The 26,786-nt window shown below is 47.9% G+C and overlaps 1 protein-coding gene across 5 annotated transcripts in view, besides 6 other annotated features; it reads left to right on the forward strand.

Annotated features, from left to right (window-relative positions):
• GATA4 (GATA binding protein 4) overlaps positions 1–26,786 on the forward strand; it is an 83,068-nt gene that overhangs the window by 47,428 nt on the left and 8,854 nt on the right. For 2 of the 5 annotated variants that reach the window (NM_001308094.2, NM_001308093.3), the window contains exons 3-4: positions 24,554–24,723; positions 25,749–25,874. In NM_001308094.2, coding sequence (NP_001295023.1) covers positions 24,559–24,723; positions 25,749–25,874 — 291 coding nt within the window. In that variant the 5' untranslated portion in view covers positions 24,554–24,558. The remainder of the gene's footprint in view (positions 1–24,553; positions 24,724–25,748; positions 25,875–26,786) is intronic. The other 3 variants (NM_002052.5, NM_001374273.1, NM_001374274.1) reach the window with 2 other exon arrangements.
• Positions 2,736–3,719: an enhancer, noted in NCBI's record as "H3K27ac-H3K4me1 hESC enhancer chr8:11584607-11585590 (GRCh37/hg19 assembly coordinates)". NCBI's record gives its function as "activates a minimal SCP1, AML or CMV promoter by ChIP-STARR-seq in naive H9 embryonic stem cells {active_cell/tissue: H9 hESC(naive)}" and the evidence as "EXISTENCE:reporter gene assay evidence [ECO:0000049][PMID:30033119]".
• Positions 11,393–11,893: an enhancer, noted in NCBI's record as "H3K27ac hESC enhancer chr8:11593264-11593764 (GRCh37/hg19 assembly coordinates)". NCBI's record gives its function as "activates a minimal SCP1, AML or CMV promoter by ChIP-STARR-seq in primed H9 embryonic stem cells {active_cell/tissue: H9 hESC(primed)}" and the evidence as "EXISTENCE:reporter gene assay evidence [ECO:0000049][PMID:30033119]".
• Positions 12,038–12,087: an enhancer, noted in NCBI's record as "active region_27031". NCBI's record gives its function as "activates an Ori minimal core promoter by ATAC-STARR-seq in GM12878 lymphoblastoid cells {active_cell/tissue: GM12878}" and the evidence as "EXISTENCE:reporter gene assay evidence [ECO:0000049][PMID:35858748]".
• Positions 12,646–13,147: an enhancer, noted in NCBI's record as "H3K27ac hESC enhancer chr8:11594517-11595018 (GRCh37/hg19 assembly coordinates)". NCBI's record gives its function as "activates a minimal SCP1, AML or CMV promoter by ChIP-STARR-seq in primed H9 embryonic stem cells {active_cell/tissue: H9 hESC(primed)}" and the evidence as "EXISTENCE:reporter gene assay evidence [ECO:0000049][PMID:30033119]".
• Positions 14,913–19,685: an enhancer, noted in NCBI's record as "VISTA enhancer hs2205". NCBI's record gives its function as "enhancer in: heart[6/7]" and the evidence as "EXISTENCE:transgenic organism evidence [ECO:0001131][PMID:17130149]".
• Positions 22,311–22,824: an enhancer, noted in NCBI's record as "VISTA enhancer hs508". NCBI's record gives its function as "enhancer in: heart[6/13]" and the evidence as "EXISTENCE:transgenic organism evidence [ECO:0001131][PMID:17130149]".

A 26,786-nucleotide genomic window follows, 5' to 3' on the forward strand; every position in this document is an offset into this window, starting at 1 on the left:
CTATGTGGTTTTTAGGGACCATCATCCCATTTTCCAGAGACTGCACCATTTTATATCCTTCATGGCATCTTTACATCTGTCAGTCTTTCCAAAAATCCCATTCTCAACATCTCCAACGTAATTCTTCATTTTCTGTATGTCATAACATCCTCATCTCTGAGTAACAATAGGAACACTTCACCAGCAGTACGAGTCCTGAAACCCGCCCTGTGTTGCTTGCCTTGTCTTGCCTTTTGACATTGGGCTCACCTCCAGTGTTTCTAGCTGTTGGCTGTGGGCTCCTCATCACCTTCGTGAGCTGGTGGCACATGGGCAGGCATGAATAAATAAGTGCCTTAGGGACACATGCACAAAGAAGTGTGTGTGTGTGTATCAAATGCATTGCCCACATGGAGGCTGAAGGCAGAGTCTTGAGAGAGGAGGCGATCAGAGGCCTAACCCAGCCTTGGGAGTGAGTGGGTGATGACAGAGGACATGGAGGGAAGGAAAGTCACAGGCCAAATAGGGAAGGAAGGCCATGGGGGAGCCAGTGGCCATCGTCTTTCTCTTGAGCTCCTGTAGCCACAGTGTGAAGGGAAGAGCTGTATGTGTAAGACGCCTTCCATGTGCCCCTCATGCCCGCAGTGTACACGGGCTGGGGGTGGGTCATCCTGACGTTGCCCGCTCAGGGGTGGCCTTCACGTTTGCTTCACCGCCTTTCATTCTCTGCTGTCCTTCTGTGTTGTCATGGAAGGAGTCACGCTCTGTCCTTGGAGCCTCGTGCGCAGCCCATGCAGTCCCTGTGGGGCTGGGGTAGAGATGAGGGAGGAGGGATACCCTGTAGCAAATGGGATCCGGTCATGTGGCCCAGGCCAATGTCATCATCCTCCCCAGCAGGGACTTAGATCCATGTTTTCCCAATAGCTTTATTTGCTGGGTGGAGAAAGTCTGGAGGAACTTTTGAATAGGGAGTTGAGTACATTTTGAGTAGGTTGTGAAAGTTAGGAAAGACTGTCTCACCCCCAGTCCTGTTGAAGCCCCGTGCATCACGCAAGGGCTGGGGAATCTGATTCCGTACTGGCCCCCACCTTCAGAAGCCTCCGGCTCCGGGCACACGCTGGGAAGTGGATGCCACTGCCAGGGAGGGAACTTGCAGAACCGAAGGCCTCTTTTTGCCTGGTTTCCTGTTGGGAGAAGAGCAAGTTCTACAGTATTTCTGGAGAGTGCTTGGGTTTTACTGCGCAGGCTGGGGTGAGTCTTGGTCTTAGTGGGGATGGCCAAGGTTCGTGAAACTCCTGCCCCTCGCTCTTCACTCTGGAGGTCAGACTTGCTGCTGCCTGCCTGTCGTGGCAGGGAAGAGCGTGGACCCAGCAGCCTTGGCTCACAGCGAGTGCTGACCCTAAGCCATTATTACTCGGCACCTTGGCAATCCATCTGGTACTGATGGCCTCAAAGAGGGAAGCAGAAGGTGCATCTTGCAAGTGCATGAAAGCCAGTGGCGGGAAAGGGGCCTGGGCCCGGGGGGTGGGGTGGCTTCTGGCCTCTGCATCTCTGTGTGGCTTGTCTCTGCATGCAGCTTTTGACTCATCTCCAGCCACAATTCCTGAGCGTCAGCCTGTGGCCTCTGTTCTCATTCTACCTTCTGGTGCTGTCCTTTTATTTGGATTATAGTTCCACTAGCCTGGAAGTATTTTCAGGGCAAGAATTATGCCACATTTCCTTCTGGGGTCCGGAATACCATCACCTGGTACATACAGGACACATGCACGTATTCCTTCACAGAAAAGATGCAGCCCGGAATCCATCCTGAAGCATTTGGCAGCTTTGGCTCACATATTCAGACCTCTGTGAAAGGCTCTGCTGAGACATCTTCGGCGGGAGCGGAGCCATCCTTGTAAAAGGAACCTGAGAAACAGAAGCCCAGGGATGAGCCCATGTGGATCCCTGGCCAGTTTTACAGGGAGAAGGACCCTGAGAGACGCCAGGGAGACTGAGGTAGCAAAGGCGCCCAAAACCTAGAAGGCCAGGAAGCGAGAGAAGAGCGCAGAAAGTTCTAACATTATGTTCTCAAAGGTAGTAACACGGGAACAGGGCAGTGAGGTGTGGCCAACACCGGGGACCTCTTGGGTCTGAGGCAGGGAGAAAGGTGCAGGTGGAGATGTCCCAGGGACAGGGGGACAGGTGGCAGTGGCTGGACTCTGAGGGCTAAGGGCTGGTGCACATGTGGGATACTCCAGTCTCTGTTTGAACCCTTGAGAGCAGGAGAGAGCCCCCAGGGGAGTGGGGGCGGTGCAGAGGGGTGGAGGAGGAGCTCTGCAGAGCTGCCTTCTGATGCAGTTGGAGGCCTTGGGAGGCCCAGAGCCAGGCAAGGGAGATGAGGAAGTGGATAGGCGTGTGCCCCCGTGTTTGCCTGTAGACACCCCTTGCATCCTCACTTGATCCCTTGATGCTCTGCTGGGCCCTGATGGTGCCCTCCTGGCTTCCAAAGGCCCCCTGCCATCTTTACATTCCATCAGTGTTCTGGACCTGGAGCAGATGACTCACAATCTTTCCCTGCCAGCTTGCAGAGACTTCCGGAGTTTTCACTCATCTAGTTTGTCCTTTCCCATCTTGGGTGCCTCAGCCCACTGTTTTTCCCTCCAACTCACTTTGTGTAGATTCTCCATGATCCTTCCTGGAGAGCCCCTTGAGGCACCAGGAGAGCTGTGCGTGCCAGCCATGCCTCTCAGCCTCATCATAACAAACGTCACAGGGAAACAAGCTCCCTTCAGACCCTGTTTAAAGGCGTTTAAAGGCGGTAAGTGCCTGTCAGTCTTGGAGGATAGTGACTCACTGCCTGAAAACCTTCACAGAAGTGACAAGACACTTTTCTTCGGGGAATGTTGATATTGAGTTTCCTCCCCTGTGTAAACACATCTCCAGGAGTGGCATTAATAATGGGGACCCTTTCCCCAGGACAAAGCAGAGGATGGGGGGAGAAGGAAGAGGAGAATGGACCCGCCTGCTGGGAAGGGGGGAGAGCTGGCCATATAAGCAGCTGTTCCTGGTGAAGGGGGAGCCCATTAGCCAGACCCTTTTTTCATTTGTTTTCAGGGATTTTGCTTATAATCTTTATGGGGACCGCCAACTTTTTATTTGACAGTTGATAAGGAGAGGCACTAGAGTCTAGTAAGTGGTTAAAGAAGCTGGAGTCAGGCACCTGATTTAAAATTCCTGCTAGCCTGGGTGCGGTGGCTCACACCTGTAATCCCAGCGCTTTGGGAGGCTGAGGCAGGCAGATCGCTTGAGCTCAGGAGTTCGAGACCAGACTGGGCAACATGATGAAACCCTGTCTCTACTAAAAATACAAAAAATTCGCCCAGTATGGTAGTGTCTGTCTGTGGCCCCAGCTAGGGAGGCTGCGGTGGGACGATCACTTGAGCCTGGGAGGTGGAGACTGCGGTGAGCCGTGATCTAGCCTGGGTGACAGAGTGAGACTCTGTCTCAAAAAAAAAAAGTAAAAAAAATCCAGCTTTACCCCGTATAATGTCACCCAGTTTTCATGCCCATAAAATTGGAATGGAAACTACTCCATAGAGGCTAAGAAATATTATTCATAAAGCATAGTACTCGGCATGTAGTAAGTGTCTATAAATGTTAGTCTGCATTTACTTATTTATTTATTTAGAGATGGAGTTTCACGCTTGTTGCCCAGGCTGGAGTGCAGTGGTGCAATCTCAGCTCACTGCAACCTCTACCTCCCAGGTTCAAGCGATTCTCCTGCCTCAGCCTCCCGAGCAGCTGGGATTACAGGCGCCTACCACCACACCAGCTAATCTTGTATTTTCAGTAGAGATGGGGTTTCATCATGTTGGCCAAGCTGGTCTCAAATTCCTTATGTCAGGTGATCCACCGCCCTTGACCTCCCAAAGTGTTGGGATTACAGGCGTGAGCCTCTGCACCCAGCCAAATATTAGTCATTAAGCCAACCATTAATAAATGCTATTATCATTAAAGGAAATATTGAAAATAGTATCTTTTTTGTTTTATTTTTGGTTTTGTTTTTGAAACAGGGTTTTGCTCTGATGCTCAGGCTGGAGTGCGGTGCTGTGATCATAGCTCACTGCAGCCTTGAACTTCTGGGCTCAAGCACTCCGCCTTCCTCAGCCTTCTAAGTAGCTGGGACTACAGGTGTGCACCACCATACCCAGCTTTTTTTTTTTTAATTATCATTTTACTTTCTGTAGGGGCAGGGTCTTGCTCTGTTGCCCAGGCTGGAGTACAGTGGCATGGTCATGGCTCACTGTAGCCTTCAACTCTTGGGCTCAAGCAATCCTCCTTCCTCAGCCTCCAAAAATGGTGAGATTATGGGTTTGAGCCACTGTGCCCAGCCCTGGATTCAATACCATAAAGGGTTAGATTGCACAGGAGGCTGCCAAGTTGAATTAAGTGGGGTTTTATATTAGTGAGAATTTGCCTTCCTTCTCAGTATTAATCTACATTTAGGTCATAGACCCCATATCCAACTTACTGTCTATAATTTCTCTTACATAGGGGGGCACATTTAGATAAGCACAGACTAATTGGGGTTATAGTCATAGCTTTAGAATAGTTTAAAGACCTAGCTGACGGCCAGGCGTGGTGGCTCACGCCTGTAATCCCAGTACTTCGGGAGGTCGAGGTGGGAGGATCACTTGAGGTCAGGAATTCGAGACCAGCCGGGCCAACATGGTGAAACCCCTTCTCTACTAAAAATAGAAAAATTAGCCATGTGTGGTGACAGGTGCCTATAATCCCAACTACTCAGGAGGCTGAAGCAGGAGAATCACTTGAACCTGGTTGCAGTGAGCCATGATCGTGCCACTGCACTCCAGCCTGGGTGACAGAGCAAGAAAAAAAAGATCTAGCTGAGGGAGTTGGGACCAGATGATTTTCTCCAGTGATGTTTGAACAAAAAGAAAAAATGCAGCTGGGCGCGGTGGCTCATGCCTGTAATCCCAGCACTTTGGGAGGCCAGGGTGAACGGATCACGAGGTCAGGAGTTCAAGACTAGCCTGGCCAACATAGTGAAACCCCATCTCTATTAAAAATACAAAAAATTAGCCAGGCGTGGTGGCATGCACCTATAATCCCAGCTACTTGGGAGGCTGAGGCAGGAGAATCATTTGAACCCAGGACACAGAGGTTGCTGTGCCACTGCACTCCAGCCTGGGCAACAGTGCGAGACTGTGTCTCAAAAAAAAAAAAAATGCAGAAGCTACTTAGGTTGAACACAGAAAGGAAGAAGGACTGTGTAGTTCAGTAGTGTGTGTTCTGAGAAAGCCCTCACAGCGTTGGTCTCTAGTAATCTCTGGAAATAAGTGAATCATTCCAGCTTGAATTATCATGATGCAAAATTGTGTTCGCTGAAAAGCAGGGGTTAAGTCCGCTGCCTTGTGAATTTCCGCCTGGAAATGCATCTGACCCATGGTGGTTGCTCAATTCTGAGTGAGTTTGGAGAAGGAAGGAAAATGAGGAGTTACTTATTAGTTAGTCGTTATACATTTTTGGTTTTTAAACCCAATATATAATTCCTGGATATTCCTACCACTTACTATTTGTTGTCGTTGTTTCTATTGTTTTTGAGAGAAGGTCTTGCTCCATTGCCCAGGCTGGAGTGCAGTGGCGTGATCATGGCTCACTGCAGTCTTTACCTCCAGGGTTCAAGGAATCCTCACACCTCAGCCTCCTGAGTAGCTGGAATTACTACCATGCCCAGCTAACGTCTATATTTTTTGGAGGTAGGGTTTTGCCATGTTGCCCAGGCTGGTCTTGAACTCATGAGCTCAAGTGATACTCCTGCCTCAGCCTCCCAATGTGCTGGGATTACAGGCATAAGCCATCGTGCCTGGCCTCAGTGAGTGGTTTTGTGGGCTGGAGTAAGGATCCAGCTGTCTTCGCTGCAGGAGTGACAGGGACGTGGTGTCCATCTCAGAGGAGCCAAGTGGGCTTGCCTAGGCTTTCGATTCTTGTGAAGATGAGTGAACTGAAACCAGACACCTCTTAGATCTATGGGCCCTTCTACCTCTGATGATCTGTGAGATTCAGTGAAGGTGAACAGTCACTGTCGGGGATGTTTTAATGATTTTACTAAAAATCGGAATAGAATGTGAAACAGGGGGATCTGAAGAGTGATTATTTGTACTGTTCTGGTCAGGAGCTGGGAGCTTTGTCTGGCCTCCACGTAGGGGCCTGAGGACAAGAACTAGGCAGAGGTGCAGACAGCGAAGAGGAGGATGGCTCCTGGGTGTTCAGGCCATGGCCAGCCTGGTCAGCAGAGCAGCTGTGGGAAAAGGGATGATATTTGGTGGTAGCACTGAGGCCCAGCCAACACTGAGCGCTTAGGATGTTTCCTGCTGCCCTGGCATTGTTTTGTTATTTATTCCAGCGACTGTCCTGTGGGCAGGAACTGTAATGTCCATGGGCAGGAGAAGAAACCCAGGTCACAGGGACCTGCCCAAGGCCACAGAAGGCCCGAGGCTGGCGGGACCTAGGTCAGCCTGACTTCCCCGGCCAGTGCCCTCTCTGTTTGTCTCGTGTCATCTGCCTTGGGAGCTCACATTTCAGGGCATGTGGCCCAGTGCCCACTGAGGTGCAGCCCGCGTGCCTGGACGGCTCTGTCAGGGCGAGCTTCTCGGGCAGTCTTCCTTCCCTCTCCATTTGTTGCTGCAGGATTCTCCTTTGGTCCTGACTTTTCTGGTTTTTCATTTCCTTACCTGTAATCTGTTCACTCTTGGTCAGCAAGAGAATAATATTGCAGCTACCACTGCCTCTGAGTTTCCTCCTGGAAGACTGAGTCTTATGAAGACCCGGTTTTGAGGAGTTTCCTGGCTGGATCAGCAAAACCACAGTGATCCACATTTGATTGATGTATTTTGAGTTTACATTTATTCCCAATGTTTATTTTCTTGTAAAAATGAGCGCATTATTGATTAAAAGAGAGAGACACAATATCCAAAAGGTGGAAGTAGCCTAGGTGTCCATCCGTGGATGAATGAATGAACAAATGTGGTCTGTGTGCTCAGTGGAGTATTACTCAGCCTTAAAAAGGAAGTCTTGCACTGCTACAACAGATGAATCCTGAAGACATTACGCTAAGTGAAACAAGCCAGTCACCAAAGGACAAACACTCTATGATCCCACTTCTGTGGGGCCCCCAGAGCCGTCAAATTCATGACGACAGAAAGCAGAAGAGGGGTTGCCAGGTGGTGGGGCCAGGATCGGGGTGCGGGAGGATGGGGAGTTAGAGTTTAATGGGTGCAGAGTTTCAGTTTTGCACGATGAAAACAGTTGTAGAGATTAGTTTCACAACAGTGTGAACACATTTACTATCACTGAACTGTACACTTAAAAATGGTTAAGATGGCTAATTTTATATGTATTTTATCACAATTTAAAGAAGAGAAAAATGGAGAGGCAGTGTACAAGCTTAGTAAGTAGAAAGTAAATTGTGAAAACCTTTTTCCTAACACTTCATTCTATTTGCTTCTTTGGCCAAAGGTGTAAGTAGCATTGATGGACGATTAGGTAGAACTAGCCATCCAGAATTGGTTCTACAAGATTGCCTTTCTGGCTCTTCAGTGTTTCTCTTTGCCCAAGCCTCAGTGTTATCCTGCTATCACAGCAGGGCTGATCACTAAGGAGAAGGTTATCCTTGGTGAGGAGGTGGAAAATGGTGATTTTTAAATGTTGTACTACAAGCAACCGAGTTTTGATCTGCAAATCTATCATATTTATAATCTGCATTAAAATTTTAAGTCACATTCATAAAATATAGGAGTGGATGCACTTTTAAAATTTCTTTGGAATGCAAATCAGATTGGATTAAAGCTATTAACCATGTGTAATAAAAGACTGTAGATTTTGTAGCAGCTTCATGCTCTACCTAAGATGTCTGCCAAGTAAGTGAAATGTATTTGTAAAAAGGCAGATGGAACTACTAGACGTATTGTCATCGAACTATTCTCCAGGGGCACTGATTTCAGTGCAGGTGCTTTAGATGGGAGGAAGGCTGAGAGCAGGGTCTGTGGGGCCCCTATTGCAGAGAAGCTCCGTTTCATCTACTTTATATTTGATTTGTAAATGTTTGATTTGCTTGGCTAAAGAATTCTGAGGCTAGAGCAACAAAACAAAACAGAAGGAGAGAGGTTGGGAAGAAAACGTGAAGTAACACCAAAAAACTAACTGCTATTGCAAAACAAGGATAAAATAGATAATTCAAGATAGATGTGATTGATTGCCATAAAGATTCATGAACACGTCAGGTGAACCCGAGTCTGGAGGCTAGAGGAAGAGGAGCCGACGGAATTTGAGGAGGATGTGTGTCTGGTCTGAAGAGGAGGTAGAGACTTCCTGCGAAGGCTAGCAGAGTAAAGGTTTGCTTTCTCCCTTTCCTCCCCGAAGACCAGCACATCAGATGAAAAGAACCCCCCAAATCAAGTAAAACTTTTATCTGCAGTGAAATTAAGAGATAACTCATATCCCCAACTATAGAAAACTGCCGAATATAATATAAATCCAGACCACATGGAGGGAAAGACTTCGAGAGCTGGTCCATACCTCTCAGCTCTCCTGCCTGTTCGCCTCCCAAATGCCCAACCTCCAAATACCATCACATGTGGGTTAGGGTTGCCAGGAGTAAATTTCCTTGTTAATAAAATGAATGAGATAGGAAAGAAAGCGGCAATGTTTTCATTATTTGCAGATAAAATACTGGTCAACTTCACTAAACAAATGTAAATTCCCTGTGGAGGGAGCTATAAAGCTTTACTGAAGGGCATAAAAGAAGACATGAATAAATGGAGAAAGATACTAGATCCTTGGATTGGAAAAGTTGGCAGCATTCTTTATTCCAAACTCCCTCAAACAAATCTATAAATTTAACACAGTCTCAGGAAACATCCCAGCAAGATTTCTTAAATACAACGTGTCCAGCTGATTATAAAATTTATATGAAAGAGTTATTGTACAAGAATAGCCAAGATAATTTTTTAAAAGGAGACTTAAGAAAGGGGAACTTGCCTTATCAGAAATCAAAACAAACTAGAGACACACTGGCACGGAAGCTAAAGCAGTGATGTTCATTGCAGCCCTGTTGTGTGTAGCAGTGAAAAATTACTTGCTGAAATGCAGCCAAGGTATTAGGAATGGGGAGGCTGTGGCATAAAAAGATTGGCATTAGCATTGAATCCTTTCAAATATCATGTACAGCTAAACAGCTGTGAGAATTATGGAGTAGAATGTAAGTGTTATGTGCCTTAACAATGCCAAACTAATAAATCCTCTTCGAAGAGAGAAGTAGATCTGTGCTGATATGGAAAAATGTCTAAACAGATATGCGTCCCTGCAGAAACAGCTGCAGAGGAGTATCCATGGTATGATCCCACGTGTGTTCAGCACACTGCTCTGTTCTTTCCTGTACTGAGGGAGCCCATTTCTGGTGAGGATTATTTCCACCACCCCGATGACACAGGCTTGGCTATGAGACTTGCTTTGATCAAGAATATGTGACTCGAAGTCACTATGCAACTTCCACACAGAGGCATTAAGAGCCATTACGTGGTTCTGTCATTACTTTTTGCCCCCTGCCACGAGGCTGGCATGAACCACATAGAGGTTTTGCCTTCGGCCTGCATGTCCAATTGAAGCATACATATAGAATTTCGGCCAACTTGCAGCTGACATGTAATGTGAACAGCAAACAAATAACTATTTGTTTGTTACAGCATAACAGCTTAAACAGCACCAAACCAAGCATAAGTGTTTTATACATATACATTTGAACATGGCTAAAATATATCTCCTATATCCTAGATACACTTTTCTCATGTGTATAAACAGACATGTACAAGGATGCCTGATGAAGCATTGCTATTACAGCAAAAAACTGAAAACAATCTGAATATATATCAGTAAGTGTCTTAGCCAGTTTAGGTTGCTGTAACAGAATACCATAGAATGTGTGGCTTTAACAACGCTTATTTCTCAAAGTTCTGGAAGCCAGGAAGCCCAAGATCACGGCACTGGCAGATTGGTGTCTGGTGAGAGACCCAAGCCTGCTTTGCAGAAGACCATCATCTCACTGCATCCACTCATGGGGTGGGTGTAGGGAGATATCTATTCTGTCTTTTCTTTTCTTTTTTTTGAGGCAGAGTTTTGCTCTTGTTGCCCAGGCTGGAATGCAATGGCGCAACCTCGGCTCACTGCAACCTCCGCCTCCTGGGTTCAGGCAATTCTCCTGCCTCAGCCTCCTGAGTTGCTGGGATTACAGGCATGCACCACCATGCTCGGCTAATTTTTGTATCTTTAGTAGAGATGGGGGGGTTTCACCATGTTGGTCAGTCTGGTCTCGAACTCTTGACCTCAGGTGATCCCCCTGCCTCGGCCTCCGAAAGGGCTGGGATTACAAGAGTGAGCCACCGTGCCCAGCCTCTGTCTCTTCTTATAAGGGTACTAATCCCATTCATGAGGGCTCCGTCCGATGGCCTGTTCACCTCCCAAATGCCCAACCTCCAAATACCATCACATGTGGGTTAGGATTGCAAGATCTAAATTTGGGTTATTCACAGACGTTTAGTCCATAACCATAAAGAAATGAACAAGTAAAATGTGATTTATTAATATAATGGAAAACTGTAAATCAACTCAAATAAAGCAGATCCACATGTATAATTAAAACTGGGAAACATAATAGGCAAAAAAGAGACTGGAATTGTGGGTTACACAGAGGCATCTACTGTATCTGCAATGTTGTATTTCTTTAAAAACATCTGAAGGAAATATGGTAAAACAAAGATTTGAAAAAGCTGGTGGTGGGTTTAAGAGTGTTTGCTATATATTTTTTTCTCAGTGACTGAAATATTTCATATTTTTTAAAGAAAGCATTCATGTAAATCTTTAAAATTGCAAAGCAATGCTTATGTTCTTCAGAGGAACATTTATCCCTGTGTGTAGAAGTATATAGATTAATTGGAAGGATATACACTAAATTCAATATAGTGATTGGATAGCAGATGGTGGGGGAATAAACAGAATTGTTACAGTGTCCTTTGTGTTTTTATGTAATTTTAAAATTTCTAAAAATAAAAATGTTAATTAATGCAGTGGAAGATATCTGGAAAAACAGGAAAATTGTTAGCCACCTCTGCCCCTGGAGATGGGATCATGGTGATGGTGGAGACTTTTTGTTTGTTTGTTTGTTTCTTTCTTTCTTTCTTTTTTGAGACGGAGTTTTGCTCTTATTGCCCAGGCTGGAGTGCAATGGTGCAATCTCGGCTCACTGCAACCTCCTCCTTCCGGGTTCAAGCGATTCTTCTGCTTCAGCCTCCCCAGTAGCTGGGATTACAGGCATGTGCCACCACGCTGGCTAATTTTGTATTTTTAGTAGAGATGGGGTTTCTCCATGTTGGTCAGGCTGGTCTCGAACTCCCGACCTAAGGTCATCCGCCCGCCTCGGCCTCCCAAAATGCTGGGATTACAGGCGTGAGCCACCGCGCCTAGCTGAGACCTTTTGTTTCTACGTGACATTCTTCTGTACCGTTTGCCTGTTTGAAAAAAAAAATTTTTTTTTGAGATAGGGTTTTGCTTTGTCACCCAGGTTGGAGTGTGGTGGTGCGATCATAACTCGCTTGCAGGCCTGAAGTCCCAGGCTCAAGTGATCCTCCTACCTCAGCCTCTGGAGTAGCTGAGACTACAGGCGAGGGCCACCAAGCCCAGCTAATTATTATTTTATTTAAGAGATGTGGTGTTACTATGTTGCCCAGGCTGGTATTGAACTCCTGAGCTCAAGCCATACTCCGACCTCACAAAGGGCTGGGATTACAGGCCAGAGCCACCATGCCTGGCCTGTTTGAATTTTTGTAGCAATTAAAAATTGCGTAATTTAAACACAAATTGAAGGGGACAGGGACTAAAAACATAAATGAGAGTTAGAATGCAGTGCCACGTTGAATGCTTTCACAGGTAGGAGCCTAGAAATCATCTGTTCCAACTACTGCACTTTTGAGTTGTGGAGACCAGACCAAGAGAGGTGAAATGACTGTTGGCTAAGGCGTCCACCTCTACTTGCGTCTGGAATTGCCCCTGCCTCTGCCTTTAAGTCTGGTCTGCGTGGCTTCTGATAGCGAAGCCAGGGGCGGACCCCGTTCACTGCATCAGGAGAGCCCTGAGCAGCGCTTGGCAGGAACTCTGCAGCCCAGGGCGCCCTCTAGAGGCTGGAGGACCTTCGTCAAGACCCCGGGGGGTGTGGATGTGGACCTGGAGGAGTGGTGGGCAGAAGGCGGAGCCACCCTTTCACCCAGTCAATTGCATTCCTCTGTCTTTAATGTTGGGCTTCCTCAGATTAGATTTTCTTTGAAGAAAGAGTTCTGCAGCTTAAAAAAAAAGTGACAGAAGAATCACTGGTGCAGAGTAAGGTATAGCGTTAGCATTTGATCTGATATTATCTAGATTCTTTTCACACTAGGAAGCACCTAAGTCATCTGGTCTAACACCTTCCTTTTACAAAGAAGATCTGAGGCCTATATAGGCAAAATGTGTGCTGCCCAGGTCCACGACTGCAGGGCATTGTCTCCTGGCCCTGGTAATGTGGTCTTCATTCTTATTTTTTGTTTTGTTTTGTGTTAACTGAACTTAGAACTAAACAGATCCCTTGCAACTTGGCTTAGACTCCATATTTCATGCAAAAAGCTTTCAGGGTAGCAGGGTGACTCGGTGGATTAGCAGGAGAAGAAGATGTAAAGTGATGGCGATTGGAGCTTAACCTCGGTTTGATTAAGTAATCCCCCAGACACCCCCGAGAGGGGAAAACAGTCCCCACGTATAAATTTCTACACCCTTGCTCGCCTCCTCTTCTGAAAGGCGTAAATCTCCCCTGAAATGCCTCCCTAGCATTCAGGGCAATAAAGAGGTCACATTATATCTCCATAAATCTCCCAGCTGGCTGCTGCTGCTGCCATTCCAGAGGCGAAGGGGAAGTTGTTTCCTCCTGACGGCAGGCCATGGGCCTGGAAGGAAAAGCCTCTCCCTGCAGACCCATTGTCTCGGTCCCTGAGGGAGCTGCCCTGGCAATTTATTCAATATTCCCTTTCCGTCCTGCCAGCTCCTAACTGGGGTTGCAGAGTCAAATGGCCCAGACTAGCCCAGCTTAAGTCTCCTCTGGCCAAAGCTCCATTGCAATCTTCCTAATAAATAAAAGAAACCAGGACCATATCACAGCATTAGAAGCCAGGCCAGGGTTCCCTGGGGCTGAGGCTGGGGCTCGCTGGGACAGGAGCTAGGGTGCTGTGAAAGATGACAGCGGGTCAACAGCTTCAGGAGTGCAGCAAAGCTGAGGACCCACTTGGGAAATGGGTTCCATTTTCCCATTAGGGAATTAAGATGCTTTTGTAGGAAAGGAAGGTGGGAGAAAAGATGCTTTTATGGAAAAATCTGAAAATGGAACCTGCCCAGCTTTAAATTAAAAATGTTACTGCATGAAAGAGTGATGATGCTAGCCCCTGACATATTTATGTATTTTATTTAACATGCAAAATAATCATAGGACAGCTATGGTGGCGCACGCCTGTAATCCCAGTGCTTTGGGAGCCCGAGCCTGGCGGATCACCTAGGCTCAGGAGTTCAAGACCACCCTGACCAACATGGTGAAACCCTGTCTCTGCTAAAAATACAAAAATTAGCCAGGCGTGATGGTATATACCTGTAATCCCAGCTTTTGGGGAGGCTGAGGCAGGAGAATTGCTTGAGCCTGGGAGGTGGAGGTTGCAGTGAGCCAAGATCATGCCATTGCACTCTAGCCTGGGTGACAGAGCAAGACTCTGTCTCAAAAAAAAAAAAAAAAAATCACTATCACAAATAAGAAATACATTAACATAAACATAGTTGAGTATTTAAAAGGTACACAACAGCAAACAATGAGAAGTCCTTCCGTGAGCCACCAAGACACCTCCCTGGAAACAACCAGCATGATCAGTTTCTTGTCTGTCCTCCTAAAAATGTTCATTCTGTATATAAACAAATCCATGTATAGATTCTTCTCCCCTTCTTTTTGTAAGAGAATATCAATGTAATGTCCATGCCTTCTAATATTTCATAGCATATACTGCAAGAATTCCATATCAGTACATCAAGATCATTGTTTATGGCTACATAGTGTGCCTTAATTGAATTAACCAGTCCGGTATTGATGAACGTAAGAGTTGTTTTTCCAGTCCTCTGCTATGGAAGGACATGCCATAGTGAATATCCTTGTATATAAACCATTTTACACAGAAGTACATCTGGAGGATAAATTCCTGGAAGTGGAGTTTCTGGATCAAGTGACACATGCATTTATACTTTTGATAAGATATTGCCAAATTGCTTTCCCCACTGGCTGCGGGGCTGTAGCATGTCACACTTCCCATCAATGCCCAGGGTGTCTGCTTTCCCACATCCCCCAACCCCAGGGCACAGTACTATGACTGAGGCAAGCTGGGAGGAGCCTGGAGAGGGGCATCATCACAACACAGTGACTTGGAGGATCCAGGACCAGTGCCAGACTTTGTCCACAGCGTGACTGGAAAGCTCTTCATGTACATTCTACCCTGGCTGGGACTGTACCCCGAAGGGAGGGCCTCTCCCTTTCTTTCTGTAGAGTGGGAGGAACAGTTGGTGCCACAGCGATGCCTGAGCCCAGATGGGGATGCCACTGTGGTGGGAGGCAGCTGGGACCGAGGTGGAAAAAGTACTTTGTACTTTTTCTTTCCGGCCAGGAGGATCCCAGGAAATTGAAGAAAATAAACATCTCCAATCCTGCAGTGCCTAGGCAGAGATGCTTGCTTAATTAACTGCATATTTAACTAATTTAAACCATGTTACAGGAAGAGAAAATCTGAAGAACATAGTCTATCCAATTGTCATGTAATAAACCAACTCCAATTTCCGTATGGCTTTGGTGAAACTTTGTTTTTGTACTCATTCCTCTACCATTGGGCGTTTTGGTTGTTTCCAGTATTTGGCAGGAATACCTGAAAAATAGATATTTTCCCTTTAAAAAAGTTTATTCCAGTGAATTATTAGAGCAGTTTTATTGCTAGCAAGAGTGGGCTGGCTTTTAGTGCAACGTGGTGTGATTTTCCATATACATCCATCATATATGATTTTATATACACACATGTATGTGTACACACACACACACGGAAACTTCTGGCCCTGCATAGATAATTCTCACAGCTGAATTATATTGTGTGTCCAGGAACATGGCATCTCAGTGGCCGGGCAGCCCAGCTGGCCGGAAGCCGAGCCCTGGGAGTGACGCTGTCCCATCGTCATTTCGGCCGCCTCATGGGACTCTCTAGGCACTGGGTTTGTTGAAACTCGATGGCTCTGTGTGCAGAGCTTCTGTCGTGTGCGGAGCTTCTGTCGTGTGCGGAGGAGTTTCTGTCGTGTGCGGAAGGCGAGGACTGGGAGCTCAGATGAGGCACTTGCCCGGCCTGCTCTGCACCTTGGTTTTCTCTTATGGATATTCACGAAATAGCCCAGACCCAGCTTGCAGGTTTTAAGACTGTACCACTGTGCCACCTGCCCCTTGCTCCTGGACCCTCGCAGCCTCTCCCACAGAAGGACTGGGGATGTGCAGAGAGAGCCGACTCAACAAGGCAGTGGACAGGGAAGCAGCGGCGGGGGCACCCTTCGCATGCAGTCCCCAGAGGCCAGGAAGGAGCAAATATTTTCAAGTGCTGATCCCCAGCCAGGGCTCCCCTGGTTGTATCTGAGCCTGAAGCCGGAAGCCCCAGGAGCTGCAGGACCCAGTGCCCAATGCGTTGTCCTGGCCTCTTTCCTGGCATGCTGCGTGTGGCTTTTCTGGAAGGGGGCAAGTCAGCCGTACTACCTGTCAGCCGGGACACTAGGGAGACACAGAGAGGAGGGATCAGCATGTCACGGATGCAGGTCTCACAGTGAGGTCTGCAGAGGGTGGCCACACACCCTGGTGTGAAGACTGTGCTTTCAGAATAATTAGTAATATGCCCCCTCCCCTCAGAAGTGTCCCATTTTGTATGGTAGGTCACAGGGCTCCCATATTAATCCGGGGAGGCGGACGGCACAAAGAGGAGAACCTTGTCCCAGGTTTCGGGGTGGGGACTGCTGGGCAGGGTCCCTGCAAACACAGCAGCTGGGAGGCCCAGGCCCCTCCACTCTGGGACTGATCGTAGCTTCCCACATGGAGGCCCCCATGAAAACTCCATAGTTCTTTCACCTGAGGGTGACAGCTGGCAAGACAGTCTTTGTAAAAAATGTATTGGTATAGGGGCAAAATGCTGCCATTCGGGAGAGTTTTCAAATAGAAATGTAGAGCTCACTGCAGTCTTTCAGTATTGCCTTCTTTTCTTTGTTCCTTTTCCGTTTTTTTTTTTGGAGACACGGTCTCACTCTGTCGCCCAGACTGTAGTACAGTGGCATGATCACGGCTCACTGCAACCTCTGCCTCCTGGGTTCGAGCAATTCTCCTGCCTCAGCCTCCCGAGTAGCTGGAATTACAGGCGTGCACCAACATGCCCACCTACTTTTTATATTTTTAGTAGAGACAGGCTTTCACCATGTTGGCCAGGCTGGCCTTGAACTCCTGACCTCAAGTGTTCCATCCGCTTCGGCCTCCCAAAGTGCTGCGATTACAGGCATGAGCCACCACACCTGACCCTTTGCCTGTTTTTAAAATGGTATCCCAGCCTGCGGTTCTCTGGTGGGAAGGGGCCATGGTGACCATTTTCTGGGAGTCTGCATGTTTAGTGTCGAGATGCAGCAAATGAAGTCTTATTCACCACCATACTTTTGTTTCACTTGTTTCAAGAAAGTGCTTGTGGCCAGAAGTGGTGGCTCATGCCTGTAATACCAATACTTTGGGAGGCTGAGGCGGGAGGATTGCTTGAACTCAGGAGTTCAAGATCAGCCTGGGCAACATAGTGAGACCCCATCTCTACAAAATGCTAGAAAAATTAGCTGAGCGTGGTGGTGTGCAACTGTAGTCCCAGCTACTCAGGAGGTTCAGGCAGGAGGATCGCCTGGGGCCGCGAAGTCAAGGCTGCAATTAGCTATGACTGAGCTGCTGGACTCCAGCCTGGGTGACAGAGCAAGACCCCATTGAAAAAAACAAACAAACAAAAAAAGTCCCTGTGAGAGCAATGCAACAGTCCACAAGTTCGCGGACTTAGCTCTATGGCATTGTGATTGCAGAGGCTCAGATTTGAATTCAGAAGCATCCTACATTTCTCCTGGAGCCAGCAACTGATCCTGCATTTTATGGGGAAATCTTTATGCTGTAATTATAGGCCCACATGGAGGGGTTCTCGAAGGTCTCAAAATCTAATCTTGACAATGATGAAGGCCAGGAAGCGTTTCCCAAGTGGGTGAGCTGAGAAGCATTGAGACAGAGATGTTGGGAAGTTTCTGAGATCAGACAAGATGGGAAAACAGCATGCTTGCGCTCTGAACTCCTGCAGCCCTTGCTGCTCTCAGGCCAAATTGAGACTGATTTTCCATCTGCTGCCAGCTTTTGCCGCTGGGGAAGGGGTCAGGGATGGCCAAGGCATCTGTGGGCAGCGCTGGTGGGACGCTGGCCTGCGGTTAAGAGACTGACTGCCCAGCCTGGGTTCGATCCCACTTTGCTGTTGATTAGCTCTGTGGCCCTGGGCAGGATCTGTTCTCTAAAGCTCATGAACTTTCCTCCATTGCCATCCTCTCCTGGACCAGCCTCCCACGCTCACCCTACTATGAGCACAGACCAGGCAGGTGTGGAGGTGCTGGGAGTTCTTAGACCTCCAGGGAGGAGCCGCTGGGGCCCAGGGTGTCAGGGGCTTGAGTCTTTCCACAGTTCCTCCAGTGACAGGTGTGGTTGCCTGTTACAGCCTTCACGCTCATCTTTCTCTTTGTCATTTGTAAAACCTCTTTGCATATGAGCGGGTGTATTTTCCCCTATCATTTGTTCTTCAACCTCTTCCTCCTCTATCTCTCTACGTTCCCCCCTCCCTCCGTTCTTGTTTTTGGTGTTTTGTTTTTTTTTTTTCCTTTCCCTTTCCCTTTCACAATGTCCTTGCCTGTTTGTGATTTAGGAAAAACAAAACAAAACAAAACTGAGTCACATTCTGTCACTCCAGCCAGCTGACGTCCTGGGTTCTTGTCCTTTATAAGGGTCAGAAGCAGAGGCCTTGGACTCTGTGGGGTGACTGCAAGGTGGGCGGTAACTGGTAACCGCCTCTGTTCAGCAGCTGCAGGAGCTTCCAAAATAGGTGATTTCATCCCCGGCCGGAGCGCCGCTGGAGCTGTGTGGGCCTCCCCGTGACAGCCTCCTGTCACAGGCATCTGCCGAGCCTGACGAAGCCCAGAAGACCCAGGGCTCAAGAGCTGCCAGGAAAACCTCAGGCTTTGTTTGGGCCTCGTGCCCCACACCCAGGCGCCAGCCGCAGGGACAGATCCGGGCCTGTCGGGAAATCCAGGCTCCATCTCTGGTGAACTCTGGATGGGACATGGGCCTGGGGTTCAGCAAGGGACATTTGGGTGGGGCTGAGACTTTGCTCTGAAGCCCCTTTGGTTCCCAGGGAACGGTTTCTGGGCAGGTCCCTCCCCTCCTGCCCAGTCTGGGCTGGGGTCTGGCCTTTTCCAAGAAAGCCTTCTGTGTTGTATCTCCTTGGCCCCCTCTGGCCCCTCTTGTGTAGCACTGCCCAGCTGCCCCGGGCACGGGCCCTTTCCACTGTTGACGTGTCTCTCCCTGAACGTCCAGGATGCTGAAGATCTGAAGCTGGAGGTGGTGGGCTGGGCACCACTGTGAGGCCCAGGCCCACTGCCGTTTGTCATCACAAAGGTAGTGATTATTTTTGAGTTGTGCATCCCCAGCTAGACCAAAACAACTTTGGGCAAGGAGTTAGCATGGATTTTGCCAACATGTTCGTTACGTCTAGCACTTGGACAGGGGCGCGTATACAGACGCATGGCAGATATTTGAGTTTCAGGCATTGCTGTGAAGGGGCTGAGACCCATCAACTCTGCCTCCAGGCATGAGGGTGAGGGTCTTCCAACACAGGCTGGGGCTCAACACCAGCTCTCCCCAGCAGGTGGAAGTCTGAGGGGAGCATCTGCAGGAGAGCAGACCAGGCTCTGTGGCGCCGATGGGGCGGCAGCAGTGGCCTGAGCTGTCTCCCCAGCGGCCAGCAGTGCCCAGGGGAGGGAGTGGAGAGCGGAACCGTGACCCTGGCCTCTGATTCCTCTCCCTTTCTTCCTCCCGTGCCTTCCCTCTCCCCGCCCTGACTGGCCTCCCCTTGTTGGGGTGGGTGGGTTCCCCAAGATGGATGGAGCAGGTCAGAGGAGAGGAGAGGTCGGTGTCTTTGCCTCTGGCTGCGTCAGTTCTTTGTAGGGAAGTCAGGGGTGGGATGTTTCAACCTCCTGGCCTGCATTCTTCTTTCAGGCACTAGGGTGGGAGCAGCTTGTTTAATTGATAGGAATATCCATACTGCACCGGCTCGCTGAGAAATCAGACTATCAGACTTTGTTTCCTCTTTAAAAAAAACTTTTTTTAGCAAGGTATGGGAGGAAGTGAAGAGTGAGATCCCCATCCTTGGAGTTAGGACAAAATTTATTTTGTGCTTTTCATTGCTAAACTAATCATTAATTAATACTTCCCATGAGAAGCAACTTGGAGACTGAGTACAAGTGAACGCGGTCAGCCTTGCTGTCAGTTGGTTCCTGGCTTGCAGTCTCAAACCTGACCGCTGAGAGCACAGACAATTCTGAGTATAGCCCCAGTGGTTTAAGAAAGGTCAGATTCCCCAGTCTCCTAGCTCTTTTATCTGTCCTCCCCTCCTCCAATAACCAGCGCCAAAGTTTGTCCTGGTCTTTCCCACTCCCTCCTGACCCCTCCAACTTCAGCCTCCTAACAATAATCCATCATTGTTATCTCATTTGATGTTTGCAAAGCACTTTACAGCCATTGTTGTAAGTTTTTCCTCTCATTTGCAAAGTACTTTACAACTATTATTACAAGTCTTTCCTCCAAACGTGGGTGATGCCTTCCAAGTGGCTGGAGGAGTTCCCGGGATGCCAGCACTGGGTGGGAGGGGCTGCATCCGAGGCCACAGCTGTGCCCCCTGGCTTCGGAATCACTCTTGCCCCCAGGGAAGTTCCTCTCAGTGCCTTTCGTAGGAAGGAATGAGAAGTGGTGCTTACCGAGGTTCATACCAGATGTCAGTGCTAGTTTGGGACTTAGTTAGTGCTGTGTTTGTGATTTAACATTGTAGGGCCAACGTTTTCCTCTATGGTTACCTTGTTTTGGTAATAATTGTTTAAAAATATGTGTAACATTTCATGGAGCAGGTTGGATGGCAGGATTTTGTGGTTGGAAATATGGAAACTTCTGCCGATTTGGAGGTGTAGGAGGTTGACTATTGGATGTCTTTAGGAAGCATAGCCTTTACTTTGGCTGTTTTGGTAACCCCTGACCCTTCTATCGCAATGGGACTTCTATGCTGGTGGGAATTCCACACTTTCTGCCCTAGACAATTAGGGTCTGCCATGAGTCCCCCACTCTGCTGAGGGTGTGTTCTAAAAATGAACTAATATTATTAGTCATTATTGATATTCAAATCCAATTTGTCCAAATAGATCATTAGCACTCTGAGACCTGGGTTCCCTCCTAGCTCCTGTGACATCTATCAGAGTGATTAAATAGCAGATGCTCAGTAAATATTTGTTGGTGGCAAATACATACTTGGCAACCTCCAGTGACTTTACCTGGACAGTAAAATAATTGCTTGAATGCATAACCCAACTTTGAGGTGAGCCTGCAGGAGCTGCTGAGGCACACCTGTGTGTTGGGCTCTCAAGGCAGCCAGAGGTGAGTCGGCAGCTGAGATCACGCTCCAGGGATTCCTGCGTCCTTTAATAAGATTCTGGGGTGGGCACAGTTCTGGGGTGGACATGGTGGCTCACGCCCATAATCCCAGAACTTTGGAAGGCTGAGGTGGGAGGATCGCTTGAGCTTAGGAGTTCAAGACCAGTCTGTACAACACAGTGAGAGCTTGTCTCTACCAAAAAAAAAAAAAAAAAAAAAAAAATTAGCAAGGCATGGCAGCATGCACCTGTAGTCCCAGATACTTGGGAGGCTGAGGTGGGAGGATTGCTTGAGCCTAGGAGGTTGAGGCTGCAGTGAGCCGAGATCGCAGCACTGTACTCCAGCCTGGGGGACAGAGTGAGACCCTGTCTCACAAAAAGTTTTTCTTTACATCAGTGTAGTGTGGGAAAAAGAAAAAAAAGACTCCATTCCTGCATATAAAACAATAATTGTGAGGAGAAAAGAGAATCTCCCCTCCGAACAAGAGGAACACATTATGAGATGTTTTTCACTTAAATGAACCAGAATGTAGGAGAGAGGCCAGTTTGCTTATTTTTAGGAGTGTGACTCTATCTGTTAGAGGAACATACTGAGATATTTATGAATAAAATAATAGAAGTCTGGGATTTTCTTCAGTAACACAATGTGGGGGAAAGTGAATGGAGGTACAGGTAAGACAAGATTGACCACAAATGATTGGAAGCTGGATGATAGTTAAGAGTTCGTTTTCATATTCTGTCCCCTTCTGAATATGTTTAAATTTTTTCATAATAAAGAAAAATAGGGCTGGGTGCAGTGGCTTATGCCTGTAATCCCAGCATTTTGGGAGGCCGAGGCAGGAGGATCACTTGAACCCAGGAATTTGAGACCAGCCTGGGCAACACAGTGAAACCTTGTCTCTACAAAAATTAGCTGGGGATGGTAGCGTGTGCCTGTGGTCCCAGGTTCTAAGGAAGCTAGAGGTTGCAATGCCCACTGCACTGCAGCCTGGGTGACAGAGTGAGACTCTGTCTCAAAAAAAAAAGGAAAAAAAAAGATAGAAAAAGTAAAATAGACTGAGGCAGGAGTATCTCTTGAGGCCAGGAGTTGGTGGCTGCAGTGAGCTGTGATTGCACCACTACACTCCGGCTTGGGTGAGAGTGAACCCGGTCTCTAAAGAGCAAAATAAAATAAAAAAGGAAACCAGAATGGGAGGGTTGCACTAGGTTTGGAATGGAAAGGTGATCTTACAAGGCCTCTATGTCCAAGTGCGATTCAGGCTAGACCGCGTGTCTTGGTTCAATTTTGAGATGGTAGCGCCACCCAGTGTTTATTGCGAACACCCAACAAAACGACGACGTTGCCCGCGCCCGCCTCTTGCTGTGGAGTGGGCTTGGTCTAATGTCCTTCTGTAAATTCCTGGCCTCTTTAATCCCCTCATGGGCAGGCCTGGATGAAAGAAGCGGGGCTGACAGCCCATAGGCACGGACTGTAGAGGTGGCAACAGTAGTGTTGATTGTGGTGGTCCAGCTGGGAGCAAGCTATGGGCGGGAGTGGCCGCATCTCATGGGCGGCTCTGAGGGCAGGCGACCTTGGTGGAGGCTGTCAGTGTGACCCAGGTGTAAAAATAGCCTCTGCTGTGACGCCTGTGCTCCGCTCCCTGGCCTGAGCAAATAGCCCCTTACACCTGCACACTGTTTACTTGGTGTGGACACACAGCTACCTGTTTGCAGGTGCAAATGACTGTTTGTGTACCCAGAGTTGTGGGGAGGGCCCCCCACCATCCTCTTCTCTGGCCCACATTCCCCTAGAGCAAGTAGCTGGGCCACATAACTAGCAAAATGCGCAACCTCAACCCACTCCCGAGCTGGGTCCTGTTGGAAAGAGAGCTCTTTACCACCTGTCCTCCCAACTCAATAAAAGCACCCCTCTTCACTAGAGAAAAATCTGCCCTTGCCTCTGGCAGCAGCATAGGAAGAATCTGGAGACCAAGGTAGATGTGTTTTGGGACAGCAAATTAGGATAACATGAAGTCAGAGAGACTTCTGGAGATGGTGAGCCAGGCTTTATAGAGACTACGGGGAGCAAGAAAACTGGCCCAGCCTGTCTCACGAGGGTGAGGAGAATGGACACAGGTGGAATCTGTCAATTGTAACATTCTGTAGACATGGATGATAAAGGTGATGGCGGGGAGGGGTGAGCGAGTGAAGGGAGCGGCAGACCCCGGCAGCCTTGTGGTAGCTGGGGAGATGCTACGCTTATGTGAGCAGCTCTAAAGTGCCATTGCTTATAATATGCACCTTTATTTTATATACCAATAAGCAAGAAAAATGTCCAACTATGATATGGCAGCCCATACAGGTATATTAAAACAGAAAAAATGAATGAATGAAGCTTTTTTTGCAGGACAGTTAGCAAATTCCAAGAACTGAAAAAGAAATTTAGTGCCTTTGACTCAGAAATTCTACTTCTCAGAGAGTATCTTAAGGAATAACTAGAAATGCACAGACTTAAGTAAGGAGCAGTGTTTATGAAACAAGAATCCAAAACTGGATGAAGATTAATAGCTGAATGATACTAGTTAAATGATGGCACCTTTATATGATGGAACAATGGTATATGAGTGTATAAAGAATTTTATAAAATGAGTTTATAAAGAATTTGTCATTGGGAAAATGTTTTGGTATTAAGCAAACGACCCACACAGACTCAGAATTATATAGCTTGGCAAAAATATGGATCAACATATGAAAGTCTCACAAGGCCGGGTGTGGTGTACTCACCCAGTACTTTGGGAGGCTGAGGCGGGTGGACCATTTGAGGTCAGGAGTTTGAGACCAGCCTGATGAAACCCCGTCTCTACTAAAAGCACAAAATTAGCCGTGTGTGGTGGCGCATGCCTGTAATCCTAGCTACTTCGGAGGCTGAGGCAGGAGAATCGCGTGAACGTGGGAGGCAGAGGTTGCAGTGAGCTGAGATCGCACCATTGCACTCTAGCCTGGGCAACAAGAGTGAAACTCCGTCTCAAAAAGAGAAAAGAAGTCTCACAAAGGGCTGGGCACAGTGGCTCATGCATGTAGTCTCAGCACTTTGGGAGGCTGAGGCTGGAGTATCGCTTGAGCCCAGGGGTTCAAGGCTGGACTGAGTTATGACTGCACCACTGTACTCCAGCCTGGGTGACAGAGTGACCCTGTCTCTAATAAAAAGAATAAAATAAATACAGTCTTACAAAGGATACAATAGAACCAAATGCTCAAAACATTAGTGACAATCTGGATTTTCTTTATATATTTTGGCACTAATTTTCCTAAGGTAAATATTTATTATATCTTTATGCAAAAGGAAAAGTAATCTTACTAACTTTGAAAGGGAAAAAGAGAGAGCAAGGTTTGCGTGGACCTCAGTGTGAGGTGAGAGGCCTAGGGCTGGAGGCTCTGAATGTGATACCTGCACTGAAATCCAGGTGTCCCGCCTCCCAGCCCAGGACGTGGGTGATCACTGCAACTTTTTCCTCTTCTCGTGCTCAGGGGAACTCTCAGTGTCTGGGATTAGGGAGCAGGGGCTGAAGTCAGAGTGAGGAAGAGCAAGAGCAGCCCGAGGTGGTCTTCTCTTTCCAAGGAAAGGGCATTGTTTCTGTGCGCTCTAGATTCTCAGATGTGAGAGCTGGGCATAAACAAAGAATTAATCCTCTGTGTCTTTTCTTGTCTGTTCCCCCCAACTCAGTAGATATGTTTGACGACTTCTCAGAAGGCAGAGAGTGTGTCAACTGTGGGGCTATGTCCACCCCGCTCTGGAGGCGAGATGGGACGGGTCACTATCTGTGCAACGCCTGCGGCCTCTACCACAAGATGAACGGCATCAACCGGCCGCTCATCAAGCCTCAGCGCCGGCTGGTAAGCACGTGCCTCGCAGCCTCCTCTGGGCACCTGGCTGCGGAGCTCTCGCCTTGGTGGGACATCCTCTGGTTTTGAATTTTGGAACTTGAGGGTGTGCATCGGGGATTACGTGGGTGAGAGCCCCATAATAATTCTCACAACTTTAGAGTTAGCTGGAGCCACCAGAATGATCCAGGCTGTCTAGTTCAACCTCTTCGGCACACAGAAACTGAAAGTGAGGCTCAGAAAAGCTAGTGGCCTTGCCCACAGCCACTCAGGTACTGAGTCTCCCATCTAGAACTCTGGAACCAGAATCCAGGTTTCCTGGTTCCCAGTCCAGTGTTGACTGGAGTGTCTCCTCCACCCACACCAACCCTGCAAGGAAGGTCACCTCAGAGGCTGGTCTCTACCCTGACCTCAGTTGATCAGTTGATAAATCCCAAAGCCCAGAAGTGCAAGCAGCTTGTGTTGGGCCCCGTGGCTAGGGAAGAGTTTGGGCCTGGGGCTTGGCTCCTGGCTTCCTGCTCCTTTTTAATATAATTTGATTCTGGTCAACACCAACCAGCTTGCACTATATTAAGGAGGGAAGAACAGAGGGGATAAACCTGGTGCCTCCCTTTCTTGAGGTCCCAGGGCCATTCAGACTTTGATACCATTTGGACACCGTGATTCCTCACTCTCTGCCTGCCCCCGGCACCTGCAGCCCCGGTCAGTTCTCCTCTCAGGAGAAGCTTTCCTGCCGGCAGTGCCCGGCGCTCACTGGTTATTCGCCTGACGGTGAATGATGGTTAGGACTGGAAACCAGGTCTCGATGCCCACGTTCGCTCTCCTCGGGCAGCAGAAACCTTGTTCTGATTTATTCCTCGCAGTGGCGCAGGTGACAGGAGAGTTAGGTGCCGTCACAGGTCAGAGATCTCATGCAGGGTCGTTAGGGCCCAGCCCTGCCTCCCGTTAGGGAGGCCCAGCTCCGCAGCCACACGCGAGGTGGAAGGGCAGTGCACACCTTTTACTTGGACATGAAGCATTTGTTTCCTGTCTTGCAGTCCGCCTCCCGCCGAGTGGGCCTCTCCTGTGCCAACTGCCAGACCACCACCACCACGCTGTGGCGCCGCAATGCGGAGGGCGAGCCTGTGTGCAATGCCTGCGGCCTCTACATGAAGCTCCACGGGGTACGTGGGTCCTGCGCCCATGCGGCATCCTTGCCTTCTGATGCCCATCTCTCAGTCCTCCCTTGTCTTCTTCCTTTGTACTAGCATTCATTTTTCCTTCTTAACAAAGAGACTTAGATTTGGAAGGGGCTTTCAACTACTTTGCTGGCCTCTTCCGTCCTTTACATTGTATAAGTGAATTTTCCGTTTTACAGATGAGCAGGCTACATTTATATGTAGCAGTTTGATGTGTAACAAAGGTGACGTTTCGATTCAGTGGATAAGAAGCTTAAGGATAGTTGTATTGACAAAATTGGCTGTTCATTTGGAAAACAGAAGGAAAGCATGACCTCTACCTCCTACCTTAAACAAAAATAAACTTGGGTGAATTAAGGATATTACATGTAAAACATCTTTGAAATAAACTAAAAGTAAGGCCAGGCATCATGACTCATGCCTGTAATTGCAGCACTTTGGGAGGCTGAGGCAGAAGGATTGCATGAGCTCAGGATTTCAAAACCAACCTGGACAACATGGTGAAACTTTGTCTCTACTAAAAAAAAAAAAAAAAAAAAAAAAAATCTAGCTGGGCATGGTGGTGCATGCCTCTAGTCCCAGCTACTCAGGAGTCTGAGGTAGGAGGATGGCTTGAGCTCAGGAGTTTGAGGCTGCAGTGAGCTCTGATTGTCCCACTGCACTCCAGCCTGAGTGACAAAGTGAGACCCTGTCTCCAAAAAAATAAAAATATTAGATAATAAAATACTGCAAAGAAAATCAGACAATAAAAACACTGGAAGAAAATGTAAGGGAAAGTATTTATATAACTTTGGGGATGGGAGAACTTCTTAAACAAGATTTTAAAACTTTTTAGCCATATAAGAATAGTTAGATATATTTGATTTTGTAAATATTTACTGTTTGTGCCTGGAAATG

Source organism: Homo sapiens, chromosome 8 (genome assembly GCF_000001405.40).
Source record: "Homo sapiens chromosome 8, GRCh38.p14 Primary Assembly".
NCBI classification, from domain to species: Eukaryota; Metazoa; Chordata; class Mammalia; order Primates; family Hominidae; genus Homo; species Homo sapiens.